The sequence below is a fragment of the Homo sapiens genome, chromosome 6 (genome assembly GCF_000001405.40).
Source record: "Homo sapiens chromosome 6, GRCh38.p14 Primary Assembly".
Classification (NCBI taxonomy): Eukaryota; Metazoa; Chordata; class Mammalia; order Primates; family Hominidae; genus Homo; species Homo sapiens.
In genome coordinates, this window is record NC_000006.12 from 83242165 (window position 1) to 83266426 (window position 24262).

The window sequence follows — 24262 nt, forward strand, 5'->3', positions numbered from 1 at the left end:
CTGTACTATCAGTTTTAAAGAGGACTTAACACTGTTAGCAAGATACTAAACAGATCGAATTTTTCTTAACATTTTAGAAACTTACGACTTTAACATAAACATAAACATAACAACATATGGTTGTTAAATAAAAGTCTCACCTTTTATCAAAGAATAGCCTCTACTAATGCAATAATTTGTTAAATCTGGTTAAAATTACCATATATATTTTAGTAAGGTAGATCAATATGTAATCAAATAATTATAATCCTCATGTGCTACTAAATAGATTGGGTAAAATACAAGAACTAGAAGTAGCAGGGGGATGGGTGAATTTATCTAGGCAAAGGTCAAGGCATTTAGAGTGCATACTCCCTGAACACAGTATTGATTAATGTAAGAGTTTCAGAACCTCAGACAAGAGGACACAATGAGTAGGAAAAGCATATGCAAAGACATGAAGGCAGGGATGACTCCCTGTTAGAAATGGAAGTTGAACACACAATTAGTATTCCTTTCCCCAACAAACTCTACTAAAACAATAGAAAACTGCTTTTTCGAAAAGAAAAAAATTAAAAAGACTAAGAGAAAAGGGTAGCAAAAAAGGGTAGCAACAACATTTTAGAAGCTGACAGGCTTCTAAATGAGCAAATGGCAACTGACTTAGCAGACTTGAGAAAGCTGAATTGTTGGCCGGCAGTGGGGAATAAGTGACCAGACTGATACAGCAAAACTCTCAAAAACCCAGGTATAGGAGGCACCAAGTGCCTCTGGAAGTAGGGATAAAGGAGAGGGTGAAAACAGGAAGCTGGTCAAAAGTCTGTTAAGAAGGCTAGGGTGCAGAGGTTTATGTCCTGTAACCTCAGGACTTTGGGAGGCCAAGGCAGGAGGGTTGCTTGAACCCAGGGATTTGAGACCAGCCTGGGCAACATAGAGATACCCATCTCTACCCCCCAAAAATTTTTTTTTTAAATTAGCTGGGTGTGATGGTACATGCCTGTATTCCTAGCTACTTGGGAGGCTGAGGCAGTAGGATCACTTGAACCCAGGAGTTTGAGGCTGCAGTGAGCTATGACTGCTCTGCTGCACTCCAGTCCAGCCTGGGCAACAGAGAGAGATACTGTCTCAAAATTAAATATATATATTTAATTATATATAATATACAATTATATGTAATTATATAAAATATAATTATATTATATTTATATATTTATATAATATATTATATAATAGATTATATTTATATATTTATATAATATATTATATAATTAGATTATATTTATATATTTATATAATATATTATATAATTAGATTATATTTATATATTTATATAATCTATTATAATTATGTTATATTGATATAATCTATTATAATTATATTATATCGATATAATCTATTATAATTATATTATATCGATATAATCTATTATAATTACATTATATCGATATAATCTATTATAATTACATTATATCGATATAATCTATTATAATTACATTATATCGATATAATCTATTATAATTACATTATATCGATATAATCTATTATAATTATATTATATTGATCTATTAAATAATTGTGTATTTATATAATATATAATTATATTATATTATATATTATATAATTATATTATATTTATATATAATTATCTTATATTTATATATTATATATTATATTTATATAATATAATATATAATATAAATTATATATATAATTATATATAACTCTCTCTCTATATGTGTGTGTGTATATATATATATATATATCAGTTAAAACCCAGATCTGCATCCCCCTCTCCTTCTAGAAGATAGTCAACTTCCCCACACTCTGGAAGTTTGAAAGAAAACTTGAGGCTCATTTTCTGGAAAGGGTCATTGGAGTATAAGACACCAGGCATAATTGGGGGCAAGGATTCCATACTAGAAACAAGCTTAACTGGAAGTTTACATACTCAATACGGAGACCCTCCAATCTTCTCCTACTTAAAGAGCACTGGCAGAAAGGTAGTATCAGGAGCGAGATTGGAAAAATCTTTTCTGTGGAATCTCAGCAGTGTAAGAGAAGGAATCCAAAGAGACTGAAAAGGAAGATTACCTAAGGAAATGGCCCAACCAAGTCACCTTACAGTAAAGACTCAGAATACTACCTCCATCTGCATGCCCAGCCTTCTAAAATATAAAAGGAGAGAGAACATAAAACACATGTGAAACTGTGTGCAGTGTTGCTGAAGCAAACACACCTTACTAGAATGCAAAGTGATATGAGGCTAGAGAAGTTTTGGGGTCAGATCATGTAGGGCCTTCTACTATATACTAATAGTACCTATAGGTATATATGGGTATATATAATTATAATATATTATAGGTAGCAGATGGTGTTTAAAGATTTTAAATTCAGAGAATAGTGGTGGGTGATGGTTTTGAGAAATTTGAGGCTGGGGGTATGCAAACAAATTAGGAGGTTCAATTTTGAGCTTTTGCACAAAGCTTGTGCTTCCTGTCATGTGTTATTCTGATAGCAGTATCAAGAAATAGTTACATACAATCTGGGCCACAGATATTTAGAATTTTAAAACATGTATTGAGGTCGTGTGGAATGATAACATTATTCAGAGTGAGTGGCTAAAGGAGAGAACCTAAATGAACATGAACATTTAAGGAACAGAGGGCAGAAAAATGTGTTATAACACATTTTTGTTATAACACACATTGACAGAGAAAAAATTATCAAAGAGGTAAAAGAGCATATACTTACCTGAAAACAGAGAGAAGTAATGACAAAGAACAAAGGTCAATCAAGAAAGAAAATGAAAAATTGCTATTGGATCTTGCAATTACATCACCTGTGACCTATCAAAGAGCCGTTTTTAGTGGCATGCATGTCAGGGCTGAAGATGGATGGCAGTATTCCGAGGAAGAAATAAAAGGTGAAGAACAGGGAGAGCAGGTGTGGAACACTCCTTGGAGAAGCTTAGATAAGAAAAGGAAGAATGGGGTGAGGATGGAGATGGGGTGGGAGGGAAACAAGGTTGAGGCAAATATCTTATTTTTATGTTTTTAAGGGAAGAAAGACATTGACTGATGGAGGGAAGAAAATAGAATGGAGGCAATAATTTTAAGACTGAAATCAATTTAAATATGGTCTATGGTCATAGACTAAAGGGAAGAAGGCAATAGAGAGAAAGAGGTTGAAGTTACAGGAAAACAAGCCATCTTTTAACCATGAACTTCTTTCCCAAAGTAGTGGGGTGTCATTATTAGTGAGGCAAAATAATTTTTTTTTGAGACAGGGTTTCGCTCTTGTTGTTCATGCTGGAGTGCAATGGCATGATCTCGGCTCACTGCAACCTCTGCCTCCCAGGTTCAAGCGATTCTCCTGCCTCAGCGTCCCAAATAGCTAGGATTACAGGCATGCACCATCATGCCCGGCTAATTTTTTTGTATTTCTAGTAGAGACGGGGTTTCTCCATGTTGGTCAGGCTGGTCTTGAACTCGTGACCTTAGGTGATCCACCTGCCTTGGCATCCCAAAGTGCTGGGATTACAGGCGTGAGCCACCGTGCCTGGCCGAGGCAAAGTAATATTTTAAAATTCTTCCATGTTACATTCTTTTGTAATAAAAATATTCAACAAAATATTCTTACATTCTAATTCATGAGCTTTTTCTCATAAGTATTTGACAAAACACATTTTAATACAATAAGATAGTCTAAATTTTTTTTGCATTTTAATATAAAGAAATCTTACAGGATCTACATATAAATATAGGATCTACACATAAAAATGTTTCAGAATATTAATTGTAAGTCTTAAATGAGTATTAACTCAGAAAAATCTATGAGTAAGAGGAAGAAGTATAGTCAGAATGCTATTTTCTTTCTTTCTTTGTATAACTTGTCTGCTACGATCAGTTATGTCTAGTATTTTGTCAAATAAGTGGTGACATAATGAAGAATGTCATTGATATGAGATGATGGCAAATTCCAAATTACAACATCAACAACAATACCACTTTGGAAAGAATACTAATGGAAGTAAAAAGCTTTGGTACTAAGTTATCTTGCTAATGAAAGATTATATATTAGGTATTTTTGATATTATGGCTCAACAATTGTGCCATGTTTGATCTTTTTCAGTTGAAATAGTTATTCATAAATACATGCTCATTGTGGTAAATGCATTAAACAGTTAAAATCCAGATAAAGACAAAAAAAGTCACCTGTAATCCCACTGTGTAGCTGTAACCACTTTCAACATTCTGATGTTTAGTCTTAACAAATTTTTGTCTCATACTGATATGTGTATATTCAAAAAATTTTAATTTACAAAAAATACCTCATTCCATACCTACTATTTTAACATGCTTTTTATCTCTTAAAAATATCTTGTGAATACCTAACCATGTCTATAATATATTTTAAAATATTATTTTGTACAGTTATAATATTCCATACTATGGGTATATGGTAATTCATTTAACCAAACCTCTATTTTTAGATATTTAGAGGATTCTGATTATTTGCTATTAAAAATAGCATTGCAATACTTTGTATATTTAATTTGCACATCACTATTTCTTCAGGATAAATTTGTACAAAAGAATTGTATCAGGTAAAGATCTGCATGTTTTTAGGTTTTTGACACAAACTGGCTCCCCAAAAGTTGTATCAATCTATACTTCTACCATCAATGGATGCGAGTGCTCATTTTCTAAAAGCATCATTAACAGTTGGGTTTATAACAAAAATCTTTGCTAGCTTGATAGAGAAAATCAGTTTCTCACTTGCTGTTTAATAAATTTTTAAAAACTTAATAGTAAGGCTAAACTCCAAAAATATGTTTACTGGCCATGGTATCCTTTTGTGAGTATCTGTTCTACCATGTCTGATTTTGATCTTTTCAATTATCAAAGCATTCAGTATAAGATTTCACTATATTTACAAAAATGTAGCCTAATATATTAAATGTATTTTTTAAAAATACTAACAAGTCAAACTAGTTTATTATGGCAAAAATTTCTATGTGCAATATTTAGAGTGTCATGTTACAGAGTAACTATTCCAGAGGCTACTATGAGAAGAAAAATTTCTTTTTGTAGCTTATTTTAAATGACTAGAGGTTGAAACCTTATTTTTTTCAGTCTGAATTTGCTGAATTCTGTTTGTCTTCAGATTATATAATTATGTGGCCAATTTCTTAATAGATTCAATTTATGCATTTTTTCCAGTTTAAAATAATTTATAATGAGAATGCATTCATGTCTAAAATACATTTTGAATCAAAATCTATATTATTTAAGGTTATTTTAGATAACTAACAGTAGAATTCTAAGTATATACAATTTTAATCAAATACTTTTCATAAATCATATCTTTAAATAACAAATGTGTTTAAAAAAAAAAAGAAAAGAGTCCACCCAAGGGTCCAGTGTAAACACATTTATTTACATGGTAAGGCTGTAATGGTTAGATAATTATTTTTGTTGGCACTGGAATGCAATTTCTGTGCCTGCAGAGAGGAAAGTATTACATCTGTGGGCATAATGGTAAGAACATAAGGTTAAAAAGGTAAAAAAGAACCATACGGAGAAACTGTGTCATAAGGGCACGATTTTGCATGATGTGCACAAAACGGTTTGGTCATTTCTAGTCAGAACCCCAATAACTTGCCAAAGGTTTTCTCTAGTCAGAGATTAGACATATTTTTCTCAAACCTATCTTTTTATTTCCTAAGGCAGTAATACTTTAAAATTCCTATATGGAAATAAAAGACTATATATGTGCAGATTATATTTTAGGCCGAATTAGTCGTGAAAAACTAGTTATTTAATGCCTCCATTGTGGTGACCTGCTTGGGGGGCATATTATGCTGTGGATCCTCAGGGCTCCTTCTTGCACTGCTCTTGACCTAGGCTTGGCTCTTGCTTCTGATATCCTGTGCCCCCGCCTTTAATTCTGATGTACCCCAGAGCCTGACCTCTAAATTCCTGGCCTTGATGGATAGAAATCCTGACCCTAATTGCTTGTTTTGTTTGATAATTTGAATTTAGCATTCGTTTTCTTAAACTGAACTCTGTTTCCTATTAACTCTGCATGATAATTAGAAATTATTTAATACTGGTCTTTAACTTTGTATGGACATTTACATCAGACCCACAAAATCAGAAGATATACAATATTAAAGGAATTCTGTAGTTTTGTTCAACAGTTTACTGGTGGCTGTTTTAGAGAACACTGCAAAATGAATTGACAAGTGACTTAAAAACACTGGTCTACAAAGCATGTGTTTGTAGCGCCAAAGGCACTTTATCATTATTATACATGGTATCTTCAAGTTAGTATGCAATACTGATACAGTTTAGCTCTGTGTCCCCACCCAAATCTCATCTCAAGTTGTAATCTCCACATGTTGAGGGAGGGACCTGTAGTTCCCACGTGTTGAGGGAGGGAGGTAATTGGATCATGGGGGCGGTTTTACCCATGATGTTCTTGTGATAGTGAGTGAGTTCTCACAAGACCTAATGGTTTTATAAGTGTTTGGAAGTTCTTCCTTCACTCATCTCTCTCCTGCTGCCTTGTGAAGAAGGTGCTTGCTTCCTCTTTGCCTTCTACGATGATTGTAAGTTTCCTGAGGCCTCCTCAGCCATAAGAAAGTGTGAGTCAATTAAACCTCTTTCCTTTACATAAATTACCCAGTCTCAGGAAAGTTCTCTGTAGCAGTGTGAAAATAGACTAATGCAAATAATATTAAAATCAGGCCATCTTTCTATAGCTCACAATTCTTAACACCTGGAAATTTCCAGATTATTCCATTTCTGAAATCCTATATTTGCTTTTCATGAATACTCAAAAAGAAATTTAATATAAAAAAGAATAAAACACAGTTTACTTAACTTAGGCATCTTTGTCATGAAAATTGGCACTGAAGGAACAATGTAATTAACATCACAAAGAATTTGGGGAAAAGAAAGATTTGACCAATTACTTTCATGTATCTCAAAAGAAATAAAGACTCAGGATTTTTAAAGCCGTTAAATGTATATAGCTGCCATACTAAATACTTAAGCATGGTGAATTTTAAAAATTATTATATATATACTTTTTTTCTTTTTTCTTTTTTTTTGAGATGGAGTCTCACTCTGTTGCCCAGGCTAGAATGCATGGCATGATCTCAGCTTGCTGAAACCTCCACCACCCGGGTTCAAGGGCCTCCCAAGTAGCTGGGACTAAGGGTATGCGCCACCATGCTGGGCTAATTTTTGTATTTCTAGTAGAGATGGGGCTTCACCATATTGGCCAGGCTGGTCTCGAACTCCTGACTTCGTGATCCGCCCGCCTTGGCCTCCCAAAGTGCTGGGATTACAGGTGTGAGCCACTGTGCCTGGCCTAAAAATTATTATTTATAAAGTACCTTTCAGTTTATAGGGTATTTCTACAAATAATTATTTTGTCCTCAATGTAAACTCCATGAGAGAAACATTATCATCCCCATTTTACATTTAAACTTTCTTTGATCACCTCATTTCCAATAGCATTCACCTTTATTCCACTTCGACTGACTTCCTTCTAAATTTCATCTTGTGCTTGCCATCACTCGGAACCAATCCTTGAAAGTACTACATTAGAATACTTTACTCATGGTGTACAGTCTCCTATCTTCCCAGGCCTCTAATTCAATCATCCTTATTATACCCATTCTTCAACCCCATTGGAATGTCTAGGCCTTTCCCCCATCTAACAGTCTTTTTATCTTCACTTTCTTCCCTATCCAGCTTAGGGTCATGGTCATCATTTTAACCTTAGCTTTTATCCCATTGTCTTTTCTTTGCACAAATACAATAAAATATCTAACATAGATGAATCCAGCTGTTCATTGTGGCCTTGCCTATTCCTGAACTGTTGAACTCAAGCTGCTCAGCCAGCATCATGATACATTTACAGTATTAATTTCAACTGAATCTGCAATGTCTGCTGACTGAATCCTTTTATGTTTCATAGTCCGTTGGCTCTCTAGTTCTCTACAATAGTTCTTTCAGATCTGTTTTTTTTTATTTTCCTCAAACTTCCAATCCTGTTATTTCAAAGAAAATAACAGGATTGTTATTTTCCTTGAAAATAACATTTATTTCAAAGAAATAAATATTTCTTTAAGGCTATTACATATATTTTTTGTTTTCCTCAAACTTCTGATCTATTGTTTCAAAGAAAAAAAATAGAAGCTGTTATATAACTTTCTGCCACAGGTAAGAAATTAAACACAGAGAGGTTATGTAAATTGGTCAAAGTCCATAGCTAGTAAAGGGCAAAGCAAATCAGTGTGACTCTATAGTCCAAGCTCTTAACATCTGCATTTAACAGTGTCTCTCACTTTATCCATCTCAGTTACTGCCCTGCCATTCTTCTAGTTCTTCAAGGCAAAAGCCTAGGCTCCATCCTTGGCTCCTTTCTCACCTTCACTATCAACAACTAATTACCTGTCTACTTCTAACTTCACTGGCACTTTCTTAGAGCAAGATGCCACCATCATAGATTTCAGCAACAGCCTTCAAATGTGCTCCAATTCAATCCTGTTCTCTAGACTGAAGACAGTGTGAATAATCTTTCCAAATGCAAACCTACCCAAGTCAACCTACCAACTCCTTAGTTCAACACTCACCAACTCTTTCATGTTTAATTCTTTAGACCAAAGGTTGGCAAACTCTTTTCATAGAAGGCAATATAGTAAATATTTTAGGGCTTGTGTGCCATTCAGTGTCTATCCCAGACTTAATTCTGCTATTATGGCATGAAAGCCACTGTAAACAATATATAAACAAGTGGGCATGGCTTTGTTGCAATAACTTTACAAAAACAGGCAGTGGCTAGATTTGGCTCACAGACTGTACTTTGCCAACCCCTGCTTTAGACATATTACATTGATTTGTTCCACTAACGTTAAATACTTTCTGTGGGCTTGGGGCTATGTTAATGACAAGTTAATGATACAGTGATGAACAAAATACCCACGTTCTCTGCCTTCGCAGAGCTTAAAATTTAGTTGGAATGGAGACACTGATTTTTTTAATTGCATAAATAGGTCAGGCATGGTGGCTTATGCCTGTAATCCCACCACTTTAGGAGGCTGAGGCGGGCAGATCACTTGCATTCAGGAGCTCGAGACCAGCCTGACCAACGTGGCAAAAACCCATCTCTACTAAAAATACAAAAATTAGCCGGGCGCAGTGGCACGCACCTGTAATCCCAGCTACTCAGCAGGCTGAGGCAAGAGAATCACTGGAACCCAGGAGCAGAGGTTGCAGTGAGCCAAGATTGCACCACTGCACTCCAGCCCGGGCAATAGAGCAAGACTCTGTCTCAAAAAAAAAATTGCATAAATATATAAAAATGCTACTATGATAAGGAAAAAAGAAAAATAATTAGTGCTATGGCAGCCTATGAGGTGGAATTGACCCAGACCCAGAAATTCAGAAGGGTTTAATGATGAATGTCATAATTGAGATGAGATTTGAAGAGGGGAAGAAAGGGTATTCTAGGATGAGAGATCAACATTTGGCTAGACCCTTAAATAAGAAGAAACCTGGCTCATTTCAGGACCTGAGAAAGGAAGTGTGGCTAGAATGAGTGACGAGAGAAACATGCATCAGACCATGCATTTTGGGCCACATTCAGGATTTTCATCTTTATCCTAAGTACAATGAAAATCCATCAAATTATTTTGAGGAAGAACTAATAAGATCAGATTTCTATAGCAAAAAGAAAACTATCTCTGTTCACCACAAAAGCCTGAGCACTTAGATCTACATCTGACAAATTGTAGAGATATTATGCAGAAAACATATAAGAAGGGGAAGCAAGAGTAAATGTGGATAGATTACTTAGATGATAGCAATTTGCACTGGGGTGATGAGGAGAAATCTATGAAAAACACAGATTTTGATGATAGGAAATGCAAAAGGTTTAGTGATAGACTGTATTTGGTGGGAAAGCTGAAGAGGGAGCTATCAGCAATTCACTGAAAAGGAGAACACTGGAAGAAGGTCAGGTTTGGTGGGGAAATAAGAGTTTGATTTGGGAGTAGGTTAAGTAGGAGATAACTTTGAGATATCCAGCAGGAGTTCTGTTGTTGTTGTTGTTGTTGTTGCTGTTGTTGTTGTTGCTGTTGTTGTTGTTGTTTGAGACAGGGCCTGGCTCTGTCACACAGGCTGGAGTGCAGTGGCATGATCATGGCTTACTGCAACTTCGACCTCCTGGGCTCAAGGGATTCAATCCTTCCCACCTCAGCCTCCCGAGTATCTGGGACTACAGGCACACACCATCATGCCAGGCTAATTTTTGTATTTTCTTGTAGAGACAGAGTTTTGCCATGTTGCCCAGGATGGTCTCAAACTCCTACGCTCAAGCGATCTGCCTGCCTTGGCCTCCCAAAGTGCTGGGATTATAGGCGCCTAAGTGGAGATTTTAAATAAAGACATGGGTGTATAGACCTGGAATACAAAGAAGTCTGGGCTGGCAATATAAATTTGCTAATTGAATGTGTGGACCTGAGTATATACCTAAGAACATACAGCAGAACAAAAAGAAAAGGAGCTGGCACTGAGCAGGTCATTTAAAAATGAAGTGTTTTGTCATTTAATAGCTAGACAGGAAAGGATGAACCTGCAGAAGAAAAAGAAAAGGCAAACAGCCAAAGAGGTAAGAAGAAACCAGCAGAATGCCCTGACATGGAAGCCAACAGAAAAGAGTATTTCAAGAAACAAGGTGAGTCAACAATGTGGAATGCTGCTGAAAATTCAAATAAGATAAACACTGAAAAACATTCATTGGAATTAGTGAAATGGAAGCCATTTGCAATCTCATTTCAAGTTGCAAAACCTCTTTACGGTATTTCTCCTCAGCTCATCTACCTGTGCTTCCCCCTACCTTCCAATAATGAAACAGAACCTGTAAGATTCTCATAGTAAGACATGTGTATTGGGGGGTGGGCTCTGCATGGATCTGGAGAGGATTAAAAAACTAGAGCTTAAAGAGGAAAAAATTTGGCAGCTTAGACAAAAGCAGGTAGCCAAGCATCTACAATCAAAGACAAATAGCAAAATGCAGCATACTACATAAAGGCAGCTCCTACTGGGGTAAAGCATAAAAATTGTGGCTAAGATAGGCTGAAGAGAGAAGTATGTATACTTTTACTTTTAAGCATTGAATAATATGGTCTCATACATTTCATTCTTTGTTTAGCCATAATCACCAGGGATTTTGTCAGATTTCTTGGAGCTCATTTTCTAGCTAATTGATAATATGGTATATTATACAGTCAGAGAGTACTTTTCTCAAATATATGCAACTAGATGAGAAATAGTATGTGACATCAGCAAGCATAATTCCTGGAATTTAAAAGGTACTCAGTATATATTGATTGAATTTGAATCATTATTACAATTATGAACTAATTTCAGACATGTTATTGATCCATATGCAGTGAAAATTTTGTTACCTTGAATATCATCATTGAATGTGCAATACTGGTTTCGATACTTGTTCAGGAGACGAAATGCATTCACATTGGCAAAATCTTCAAACTGAATAAGGCAATTCATGCCATACCTATGGGACAAAAACATTCATATTAGAAGAGGTTAATAAAATGCTATTTAAAAATAAACTTTTAAAATTAGCCCATAGAAATAGGAAAACATTATTTCCTTTTAAAGGTTCTATCTTGCTGCTTAAGTATAAATATGTAATATAATATCTGTTCAGCAAATATTTACATGCTGACTACAGAAAAGGCATTGTGTTGGCACTGTGAAATAACATAAAATGACCAAAATATGTTCCCTTTCCTTAAGGAATTTAACTTTTAGTGGAAACAAAAATTTTTGAAGTAAATAAGAAGTAATATAAAAGTGGTATAAACAAGGAATGATAGGTGTTCCGAAGATAGATATCACTTCTGGCTGTGATCAAAGACAAAGCAACAAATGAACGAGTTTTAATGAATAGTTATAATTTCAAAAGTAGAGATGTGGGGTTTTATAAGCTGAGGAAAAATAGAAGCAAAATAACTGAGCTGAAAGATAAAAAAGAAAAATTGTTTAAAAAATGGTTTAAAAGCCCTATTTGGCTATAATGTGGTAGTAAATGTAAGGGTGTAGTGAAAGATACGGCCAGATCTTCATTGTGGCCCTTCCATTCCTCCCGTCTAGCTTCATGGGTAAACATGCTTTCTTCAGTCTCTTTTATTAGGGCACTGATGAAACATTCATGAAGGTTGAGTCCTCATGGCTTAATCACTTCCCAAAAGGCCCCATCTCTTAATACTTTCACAATGGTGACTACATTTCAACATATACAACGTAACATGTAATAGTAATGATTAGACCATAGCAGCAGCTTTTACAAACCTTTTATTCTCCTGGTCTCCCAAGTCTCTTACCAGTCACTACCTCACTAAAATCAATGGTAGAGAGAACATTATTAACCTTCTCAGTTTTCCCCTACATTAAAATATTTTGTACTTTTATGTCTATTTTCTTCCTCAACTTGTGAGAATGATTCTTGCTTCCTTGTTTCGAACCTCCCCATGGACCTAACTGAATCAACTGCACCTCTCTATACTAACAGCTGCAATTTCTCCTTTACTACTGGTCCTTTCCTGTCCCCAAGCATTTTCAGGACTACCTGATTTTAAGACCACCTCCCTTGGCCATGACAAAATCAAAGCTATAGTTACTTATCTTTCTTCCCTCTGATGTCAAACCTCTCAGAACAGAGAATGTTAAACCTTGCACTAATTTCTCACTTCTTGTCAACATTATAATTCAAGGACAGTCTCAAACCACTACCCCCTGATATCACAAAGCAGATGATTTTTCTCTCTTTTTCTTCTGATACAATAAAAAACTCTGTAAGTTTGTTATTTCCCTTCAATTATGTTAATTTATATATAATTACATATTTATCTTGGGTAGACTATCTTTTTAAATTACTGTAAAATTCACAGGTGAAAACTGGTGTTAACGTTTTTTGTTTGTTTGTTTGTTTTATTACTAGTGTAGCCTAGCATCTTTTTCTATGTCTATTTGTCATTTGTAATTTTTTCTGGGAGATTCTATGTTCACTTGTTCATTTTTCCATTGTTATAGTTGTTTTCTTTATTATTTCATTAAGAATAGTACCTTCTGTTATATATATTGCAAATGGCTTTTCTAATCTAGTACACTGTGCCATTAATTATTTAGACAGTGTTCCTAATTGTTTTCACCAAATAAATTTTAAATTTTTATGTGGTTAGATCTTTCAATTCTTTTATTTATGGTTTCTCCTTTGATGAAATGCTTACAACAGTCTCCTCTACATATATTTATTTAACTATTAATGAAAATTTCCTCTAATTATATTATAGATTTAGAAAATAGTTAACCTCTAAATCTGGTATACTTTTACTGTTAGGCCATAGATTAAAAAAACAAGCTATACCAAAATTTCTGTTTTCTATATAATCACCCAACTATGTCAGCACCATTTATTTAACAGTCCATCCTTCTCCTCATCACCTATAATTAGATACTATATTCTGATATATAGTAGGGTCTGTTTCTGTGCTTTCCCATTTTATTCTACTACTGCTGATGACAACAAATATGTTTTCCTTTATAAGATATTACACACACACACTTACTCTTCACAACCACTCTATGAAGTAAGCACTATTATTATTCTCATCCAATAGATGAGGAAACAGGCACACAGGTATACCACATTGGTATTGCTCAGTAATGATAGTCTAACAGTAATGATTAGTCTTACTAATCTATCAAGAAAAAAATACCTCCCTGCTTTAATTCCTACAGCTTTATAGTAATTTTAATATTTAGTACTGTTAATCATCTTTTATCCTTCTTTTTAAGTATTTACTTGGCTGTCATACTGGTTTATAAGCATAGGCTCTGGAGTCAGAGCTCCTGGGATCAATCTTGTCCTCCTTACATACCGTGCATCCTTAACTGTTCTGTGCCTCTGATTTCCTATCAGAAAAATGAGAATAGTAACAGCCTATTACCATAAGGCTGTTAGCAGGATTAAATGAAGTGATAAATGTTAAGTGCTCAATGCAATGACTGGCACATGAGTACTCTATAGCCACTTAAAAATCTACAGATTTTAAAAAATTATTTAATAGTAACAATAGAAGCCATAGGCAGGTAAATAATGTTCTCAAAGGGCTAAGAGAAAATAACTGTCATCCTAGACAAAGCTATTCTTCAACAGTAAGGTTTATGTGGCCAATAAACATATGAAAAAAAAGCTCATCATCACTGGTCATTACAGAAATGCAAATCAAAACCACAGTGAGATACCGTCTCACACCAGTTAGAATGGTGATCATTAAAAAGTCAGGAAACAACAGAAGCTGCAAAGGATGTGGAGAAATAGGAACGCTTTTACACTGTTAATGGGAGTGTTAATTAGTTCAACCATGGTGGAAAACAGTGTGACGGTTCCTCAAGGATCTAGAATCAGAAATCCCATTTGACCCAGCAATCCCATTACTGGGTATATACCCAAAGGATTATAAACCATTCTACTATAAAGACACACGCACATGTATGTTTATTGTGGGACTATTCACAATAGCAAAGACTTGGGACCAAACCAAATGCCCATCAGTGATAGACTGGATAAAGAAAATGAGGCACATATATGCCGTGAAATACTATGCAGCCATAAAAAAGGATGAGTTCATGTCCTTTGCAAGGACATGGATGAAGCTGGAAACCATCATTCTCAGCAAACTAACACAAGAAGAGAAAACCAAACACAGCATGTTCTCACTCATAAGTGGGAGCTGAACAATGAGAACACATGGACACAGGGAGGGGAACATCATCACACCGGGGCCTGTTTGGGGGTGTGGGGCTAGGGGAGGGATAACATTAGGAGAAATACCTAATGTAGATGATGGGTTGATGGGTGCAGCAAACCACCATGGCGCATGTATACCTATGTAACAAACCTGCACATTTAGCACATGTACCCCAGAACTTAAAGTATAATAATAAAAAAATAAATAAAAAATAAATAAAATTAAGACATCTTTAGATAAATAAAAATCAAAAGACTTTTACTAAAGAAACTTCTAAAAGGTATATTTCAGAAAGAACAAAAATAATCCCAGTTTAAAAGGCCTATGTATAATAAAATAGTAAAATGTAGGGAAATACAAGCAATTTTTATCCATATAAAATAGTAATAAAAATAAGTCTACTTCTAGCATGACAGAGTGAAGAAGGTGGCAAATTCATTCCCTAAACAGCAACGATATTGCAAGACAAAATATTTAAAACAACCATTTCAGTGCTCTGTAAATCACTAAAGACAAAAAGAAGCAACAATTTAAAAGTAAAATGGGATGGGGGGTCAATTCTGAAGGGAACGTAAACTTTTTCTACTCCTTTTATGTATGATGCCGTTTATCCTCCAAGGAAACACTTTAGCTAGCTGTATTAATAATTACAAAAATGTTACTAAAAACTGGTAAAATCATTTCTATGGTTACAAATTATTACATTTTTATAACCTAGCAGAGAAGCAAACTTCATCATAGCAACTAAGTACCCCAAACACAAATATCAGTCAATAATCATGAGGTGCTTGTAATGGCTCTTCTACTTCTCTGGTTTCTAAGCAGGCCTTTAGAAAGTAAAGACTGTGAGCCTTTGGAGAGTGCTGTCATATGGTTTGCTCCCAATGTATCATATACTGGTGGTCTAGAAGCATTGGATGAGCTGTCATTATGTTCAGAAGGAGCAGAACTCTGTGGTCTCAGTATGTGAGGAGGAATCAGAGCCTTCTCAATTCTATTCCCGGATCTACTACTTACTTGGTTCTGCGGTTTTGCGCTTGTTAGAATTTCTCTGTGGTTAAAATGAAATCCCTACAATATGGTTTGCCTTCAATGTTTAGGACACAATGTGGTCAGGCTATAAATTTATAATGTTTCTTAAGTGAAATCTGGGAATAGGCATAGGTAGTAAAATGGTGTACAGGATACCTTATCATTTACAAAAGTTTATTTTAGAAGTATCCCTTAGAAACTATATATCAGTTTTAGTTTCATGACTTTTCTCTACCTGGTAGTTAACTCTGATTTGACTCCTAAAGATTTAGAGAGAGGAATTCTGAATTCATTTTGTGATACAAGCATCTTGCATCATATAATAAAAGAAAGCCACGTAAGGGATAATTAGTTCCAATTTGAACCCACTTTGTCACTATAAAATTATAAGTAGTGGAACACTGAGAAGTTAGCCAATTCAATTCTACATAACTATGAAAAGAACCTACTATTTTATGATCAAAATACCACATAAAATACTAGGTGCAAATGGTTTTAAAAGTTAACAGAAATAACACCCATAAAATTAACATGTAAAAACTGCAGAGATTTTGCTCCCGTGGCATTGTTAAATGTGACAAATACCATATTACAGTGACTAATCACTATATCTAGCACTATGTGTCAGGCACTATGCTTCATACTTTACAGGGATTATCTCAATTCTGTCAGCAACCCAGTGAAGAATGTATTATCCACTTAACAGATAAAGAAATGAACTCAGTAAGATTAAAAGCCATGGTTGAGTTCATACTGCTAGCAGGTGGTAAGGTCTGCACTGAACCACAGGGCCCAGTGCTATATATACTGGCTACCACAGAGCACCAACAGAGTTATCAAGTCAATGAAATGAATAGCATATTTACATCTGAAAATACTGCACTGATAAAATAAGGGTGTTATAATTTTATCATAAAACTATTAATAGCAAAACAGTATTTGTATGCATTCAACATACCAGGTCCTTTTATTATAGGAAATATATGAACAGATATTGGTGAGAACATGAATCTTTCTTTGATTATAACTGATCAAGAATTCACTGTAACCAGGTTAACCAAGCATGTTTTAATTTTTCCTGAGATATAGTAAAATGTTTTTATAGGATTTATTACATATGGAACATTCAAGATCTAGTGCACTTTAGCTCTGATGAGTACCTTAGGGATAACTTATTCCAAATTACCCATTTTTTATAATGTATTGAAGCTTGAGAGTGCTCAATGAATTAAGCAGCAAATAAGAAACATGGATCTTGCCCTGGAAATGCTCACTGGGAAAATAGTCTCATTGGGAAGACAAAAGGATGTAAGCAAATAACTTAAAGGAGGTTCAGATTAAAAGCAAAAGCAGTGGCACACTGATCACTAAAGGACTGAGGGAAAACAACATGAATTAGGTGAGACTTAAGATGGGCCCTTGGTAGAACTCAAATAAGGAAAAGAGTGGAGTAAAGAACCAATGATAGAATAGAGGTCTCAAAGTTTGTACTGGGGAGATGACAAATATTAGCTTCAAGGACTTTAGAAGATCAGTATTGGTTGCTGAATTTCAGATGATGAATGGTCTTGAATGCTAGAATAAGTAATCCGAAGTTGACACAAATTATCTCTGGCCAAGAACCATTCAAATTCAATTCTTCTTTGTAGGTAACAACGAAGAAGATGGATGTGTTAACTTCTTTCATAGCAATATGGCTTTTGCTCCTACTACTTTACTTCCATATTATTTTGTAACATTTAGACAGTCCTTTCATTTCTCTTACCACTCCTTTTATTATATTTTACTGTTACCTCTTAATTATTCTTTGTGACAGTAGAAATGATGAAGATTCAGCCATAATCATCCATTCTTTTCCCCCATATTCTCATCCCCTCAAGTTTCTTGTCTTCTTAAGGAATTGACAATCATGTTTTACACAAATTACTTCTAAATTTATATCTCTGCTGCTGATCTTTCAAAGAAACAACTCTGTTTCCAAAATGATACCAAGGACTTGAAGAAATTTTATACTATGAATCTTTTTTCTTTTAGAATGAGAGATAAATAATTAAAACAGTATTTCCAACCATTTTTATTTAGTATTTATTTCTCTAAAAGCATCTATAGAATCAAAAAATCACACAACATTTATAGCAAGGACCAAAAAAAAAAAGAATCACAAGCAAAATAGAATCACTATGTTTAGGTGTTGTCTGCTTTTCAAAAAAAATAGCAAACCTAAGAGATTCTGAGTTCCTTAAAATTCAACAAATTTTGAAGTTCGGTTTATAACTAAAGTGGCTATTTAGTATATTTTAATAAAAAGCATTTAAAAAATCCTCCTTGTCTCCAAAATTCATGAAACTTTTTCCCTTGTGATTTTAATTTTATTATTTTGTTGTTGTTTTTAAACTTTTATTTTAGGTTCAGGGGTACATATACAAGGTAGTTCTATAGGTAAATTCATGTTATGGGGGTTTGTTGTACAGATTATTTTATCACCTAGATGCTAAGCCTGGTACACAATAGTTACTTGTTCTGCTCCTCTTCCTCTTCTGATCCTCCACCCTCTGGGGTGGTGATGAGAACACATGGACACTAGGCCCCAGTGTCTGTTGTGCCCCTCTTTGTGTTCAAGTGTTCTCATCATTTTAACTCCCACTTATAAGTGAGAACACACAGTACTTGGTTTTCTGTTCTTGCATTAGTTTGCTAGGGATAATGGCCTCCAGCTCTCCAGCTCCATCCATGTTCCTGCAAAGGATGTGATCTCACTCTTTTTTATGGCTGCATAATATTCCATGGTGTATCAGTACCACATTTTCTTTATCCAGTGTATCACTGATGGGCATTTAGGTTGATTCCATGTCTTTGCTATTGTGAGTAGTGCTCCAATAAACAAAAAAAATGTGTGCATGCATCTTTGTGGTAAAATAATTTATATTCTTTTGGGTATATATCCACTAATGGGATTGCTGGGTCAAATGGTACTTCTGCTTTTATTTCTTTGAGGAATCTCCATACTGCTTCCACAATGGCTGAACTAATTTACACTCCCACCAGCTATGTATAAGCATTTCCTTTGCTCTGCACCCTTGCCAGGATCTGTTATTTTTTGACTTTTTAATAATAGCCATTCTGACTGGTATGACATGGTATCTCATTATGGTTTAGATTTGCATTTCTCTAATGATCAGTGATATTGAGCTTTTTTTCATATGCTTATTGGCCGTATGCATGTTCTTTTGAAAAGTGTCTCTTCATGTTCTTTGCCTACTTTTTAATGGGGTTGTTTTTTCTTGTAGATTTAAGTTCCTTAAAATTCTGGATACTAGAACTTTGTCAAATCCATAGTTTGCAAATATTTTCTCCCATTCTGTAGGTTCTTTGTTTACTCTGTTGGTAATTTTTTTTTTTTTTTTTTTGCTGTGGAAAAGCTTTTAGTTTAATTAGATCCCATTTGTACATTTTTGCTTTTGTTGTGATTGTTTTTGCCATCTTTGTCATGAAATCTTTGCCTGTTCCTATGTTCAGAGAGCCATTTCTCAGTAAAGCAAGGAGGTAAAGGGAACATCCAGTGAGGAAGTGAGGAGGTAAGGTAGCCTGTTGTTAAAGTGCGGGTTTCCAGTTAAACAGTGGAAAGATCTGAGAAGAAGAAGTGTTGGGAGTCTGGTTTAGGGAAGATGAAGCACAAAACGTGAAGTATGAAAAAGCATAGGCCGGGCGCGGTGGCTCACGCCTGTAATCCCAGCACTTTGGGAGGCCGAGGCAGATGGATCACCTGAGGTCAGGAGTTCGAGACCAGCCTGGCCAACATGGTGAAACCCTGTCTCTACTAAAAATACAAAAATTAGCTAGGCGTGGTGGCAGGCGCTTGTAATCCCAGCTACTTGGGAGGCTGAGGCAGGAGAATCACTTGAACCCAGGTGGTGGAGGTTGCAGTGAGCCGTGATTGCACCACCGCACTCCAGCCTGGGCAACAGAGCGAGAATCCATCTCAAAAAAAAAAAAAAAAAGAAAAAAGAAAAAGCATGAAGTATGTGGAGGCATACATGAAAAGAGACAAATGACATGTTATTTTTACATTTTAATAGGCAACCAAGTATAACAATAATGTGAAGCAAGACTTTCTAATTATGTGCACAGGCCATCTGATGGACGGCAAAGGTGGAACATGGGGAGATGAGTATGTGAAAGAGGGAACATCATGGCCTCTGAGCTGAAGGCAGCATGGGTACAGGCTCAAATCCTCAGAGAAGCTTTGGCTCTAAAGGACTTATCTGTGCTTCAACATACCACTGTATTCTCCTATTTCTAGTTTGTACCATTCCTTATGCCTAAAATGCCTTCATATAAGGGATGCAGAAATTTAGAAAATGCTTTTATAAACTCCATGTGCAAACTTACAATAGAGAATTAAAGGTCTCCTCAAAGCATGTTCCAGTAAATACCTCATCTCCAACCTCAATCATGTCATTTACTTCTGTAGTTTGAATCACTAAATCTGTGACTTTTTCTCCATTTAGCCTGAATCAAACTGTTTATTTCTAAAAGCCAGCAACTTCTATGAACACTAAGGGTCACATATTCAGCAGAAAAGAGAATTGTATATTATTTTACTGAAGAATATTACAGTCATAAAATTTTAGATCTAGAAATGTCCTCAGAGATGATTTAGCAATAACTAATGACCAGGAAGGTTAAAAAACACCCAAGGTTCCAGAAAAATATATGGTAGTGAGTGTTGCCATCTAAGAGAAAAGCCAGAGGGACTAAGTCCAATAGCCACGTACGGTAGAGCAGACCTTTTTGGTAATGTAGTAAGATACCTTCTATCTTATTTCATACTACAAGAATACAGAATATTTTCAGGTAAGTTTATCAGAATTTATTACCAGCACATCTCATTTTATTGTGCTTTGCTTTACTGCACTTTGAAGATACTGCCATTTTTTTACAAATTGAAGATTTGTGACAACCCTTGTTGAGCAAATCTATTGGGACCATTTTTTCCAACAGAATGTGCTCACTTTGTGTCTCTGTCACATTTTGGTAATGCTCCCAATATTTCAAACTTTTGCATTATTATTATATGTGTTATGATGACCTGTGATCAGTGATCTTTTATGTTACCATTATAATTGCATATAAGATGGCAAACTTAAGCAATAAATGTTGTGTATGTTCTGACTGCTCCACTGACTGGCCACACCCATGACTCTCTCCTTCTCCTCAAACCTCCCTATTCCCTGAGACACAACACTATTGAAATTAGGCCAATTAACAACCCCACAATAGCCTTTAAGTGTTCAAGTCAAAGGAAAAGTCACACATCTCTTTAAATCAAAAGCTTGAAATGGTTAAGTTTAGTGAGAAAGGAATGTTGAAAGCTGAGACAGGACAAAAGTTAGACCTGTTGTACGAAGCAGTTAGCCAAGTTGTGAATGCAAAGGAAAAGTTCTTGAAGTAAACTAAAAGTGCTACACTAGTGACCACATAAATGATAAGAAAGCAAAAAAAGTCTTTTTTTGGGAGTCTTTTGATAGGGAGAACGTTTGAGTGATCTGGATAGATTAAGCCAGTCACAACATTTCCTTAAGCCAAAGCCTAATCCATAGCAAGGCCCTAACTCTCTTCAATTCTATAAAGGCTGAGAAAGGTAAAGAAAATGCAGAAGAAAAGTTTGATGCTAGCAGAGTCTGATCCGTGAAGTTTAAGGAAAACAGCTGTCAACATAACATAACATAACATAACATAACATAACATAACATAACATAACATAACATAACATAACATAACATAACATAACATAACATAACATAACATAACCTGCAAGGTGAAGCAGAAAGTACTGATGTAGAAGCTGCAGCAAGTTATCCAGAAGATCTACCTAAGCTCATAAATGAAGGTGGTTACATTAAAGACCAGATTTAAAATGGAGACAAAATAGCCTTCTGTAGAAAGATGATGGCATCTAGGGCTTTCATAGCTAGAAAGGAGAAGTCAACGTCTGGCTTCAAAGCTTCAAAGAATAGGCTGACACCCTTGTTAAGGTCTAATGCAGCTGGTGACATTAATCTGAAGCCAATGCTCATTCACCATTTTGAAAAACATAGGTCCCTTAAGAATTATGCTAAATAGACTCTGTCTGTGCTCTATAAATGAAACAACAAAGCCTGGGTAACAACATATCTGTTTACAGCATGGTTTACTGAATATCTTAAGTCTGCTAATGAGACCTACTGCTCAAAAAATTAGATTCCTTTCAAAATATTGCTGCTTATTGGCAATGCACCTAGTCAGCTGAAGAGCTCTGATGGAGCTGTACTAGAAAAATGTTTTCATGCCTGCGAACACAACATCTATTCTGCAGCCCATACATAGAGAGGCAATTTAAACTTTCAAGTCTTATTATATAGAAAATGCACTTCCTAAAGTTATTGCTACCCTAGACAATAATTCCTCTTATGAATTTGGGCAAAGTAAATTGAAAACCTCTGGAAAGGGTTTACCATTCTAGATGTCCCTAAGAACATTTGTGATTCATGGAAGGAGGTCAAAACATCAACATTAATGGGAGTTTGGAAGAAGCTAATTCCAACCCTCATGGATGACTTTGAGGGGTTCAAGATGTTAGCAGAGGAAGTCACTGCAGATGTGGTGGAAATAACAAGTAGAACTAGAATTAGAAGTGGAGCTTGAAGATGGGACTGAATTGCTGCAATCTCATTATAAAACCTGAATGGCTGAGGAATTGCTTTTTCTGGATGAGCAAAGAAAGTGTTTTTTTGAGATGAAATTTACTTCTGGTGGAGATGCTATGAATACTGTTGAAACGACAACAATTTAGAATATTTAGATTTGGAATATCACATAAACTCAGTTGATAAAGGAACAACCTGGTTTGAAAGGATTGACTCCAATATTGAAAGAAGTTCTACTGTGGATATAATGCTGTCAAATAGCATTGCATGCTACAGACAGATCTCTCATGAAAGGAAGAGTCAATTGATGTTGCAAACTCCATTACTGTCCTATTTTCAGAAATTACCACCTCACCCAACCTTCAGTAACCACCATTGTAATCAGTCAGCAGCTATCAACATCAAAGCAAGACCCTCCACCAGCAAAAAGATTATGACTCTCTGAAGGCTCAGATGATCATTAACATTCAATAGCAATAAAGTTATTTCTTAATTAAGGTAGACAAATTTTTTAAACATAATGCTATTGCATACTTAGTATCCTACAGTATAGTGTAAACACAAGTGAGTTTTATTTTATTTTATTTTATTTTTTGGAGACAGGGTCTCACTCCATCATCCAGACTGGAGTGCAGTGGCATGATCACAACTCACAGCAGCCTCAACATCCCAGGGTCAAGTAATTTTCCCATTTCAGCCTCCCTAGTGGCTGGGACCACAGGAGTGTGCCACCATGCCTGGCTAATTTTTCTTTTAATGTTTTGTAGAGACAAGGGCTCACTACATTGCCCAGGCTAGTCTCAAACTCCTCAGCTCAAACTATTCACCCGCCTTAGCCTCCCAAAGTGCTGGGATTACAGGTATGAGTCACCGGGCCTGGCCTTAAACACAACTTTTCACTGAGAAACCAAAAAATTCATGTGACTTGCTTTATTGTAGTATTTGTTTTATTGTGGTTGTCTGGAACCAAAGCTGCAATATCTTTGAGGTATGCCTGTATTCAAATGAATATGAATGTTATTTATCTTTCTGTGCACACTTTCAGACCATATATTTATGCAATGATGCTGCAACTGCTCAACTACTTTCAACTACAAGGTGAATTTAAAATCAATTTTATTGCTTGATAGTTATATCTTGCAGGTAACTTTCTATCCTTTTTCCTCATTGGCAATAACAGATTTGAACAAGTATTTTGTGAACTATAATTGAATATGAATACTAATTGGATCATATTCTCATTCTGATTATTCTCAAAAGTCAATATCCACTTCAAAGGATTTTTCCTGAAATGTCACCATTATGATACTTAAAATAATTGCTTGTAGGCTCTATACATAATCTTCAAAGAGGCATTCCAAAAGCATTATAAACATTAGCAGTTATCATTGTACAGCGTTCCAGAATACTACTTAGAAAAAGATAACAATCATTCAGATCTTCGTTTTTAAAAAAATCAAACTATTTTATAGTGAGACCTCAAAATCAAAAGAAAAATTTAAAAAGGACTTTGCATGTATAACTGCTTAAAATAAAAACTTTGAAAGCCAATATCCATTCTTAGGCCACAGAGTAATGGAAATCCATGCATATTATTCAAGAATAATCAGAATGGTACATTTAGAAATAGCTGAAAGCACAAATCCAATGTAAAGTACAAATCTAGCTTCTCTGGCACAATCATCTGGAATAATGTCAAAGTCTGAAT

The 24262-nt window shown here is 35.2% G+C and overlaps 1 protein-coding gene across 1 annotated transcript in view, besides 1 other annotated feature; it reads right to left on the bottom strand.

Moving 5' to 3' along the window:
* Window positions 1–24262, bottom strand: part of ME1 (malic enzyme 1) — a 220650-nt gene that overhangs the window by 31763 nt on the left and 164625 nt on the right. Inside the window, exon 7 of the mRNA NM_002395.6 lies at window positions 11465–11574. Within this exon, the coding sequence (NP_002386.1) occupies window positions 11465–11574 (110 nt within the window). The remainder of the gene's footprint in view (window positions 1–11464; window positions 11575–24262) is intronic.
* Window positions 6193–6393: a silencer, noted in NCBI's record as "peak5928 fragment used in MPRA reporter construct". NCBI's record gives its function as "represses an SCP1 promoter by STARR-seq MPRAs in K562 erythroleukemia cells {active_cell/tissue: K562}" and the evidence as "EXISTENCE:reporter gene assay evidence [ECO:0000049][PMID:32103011]".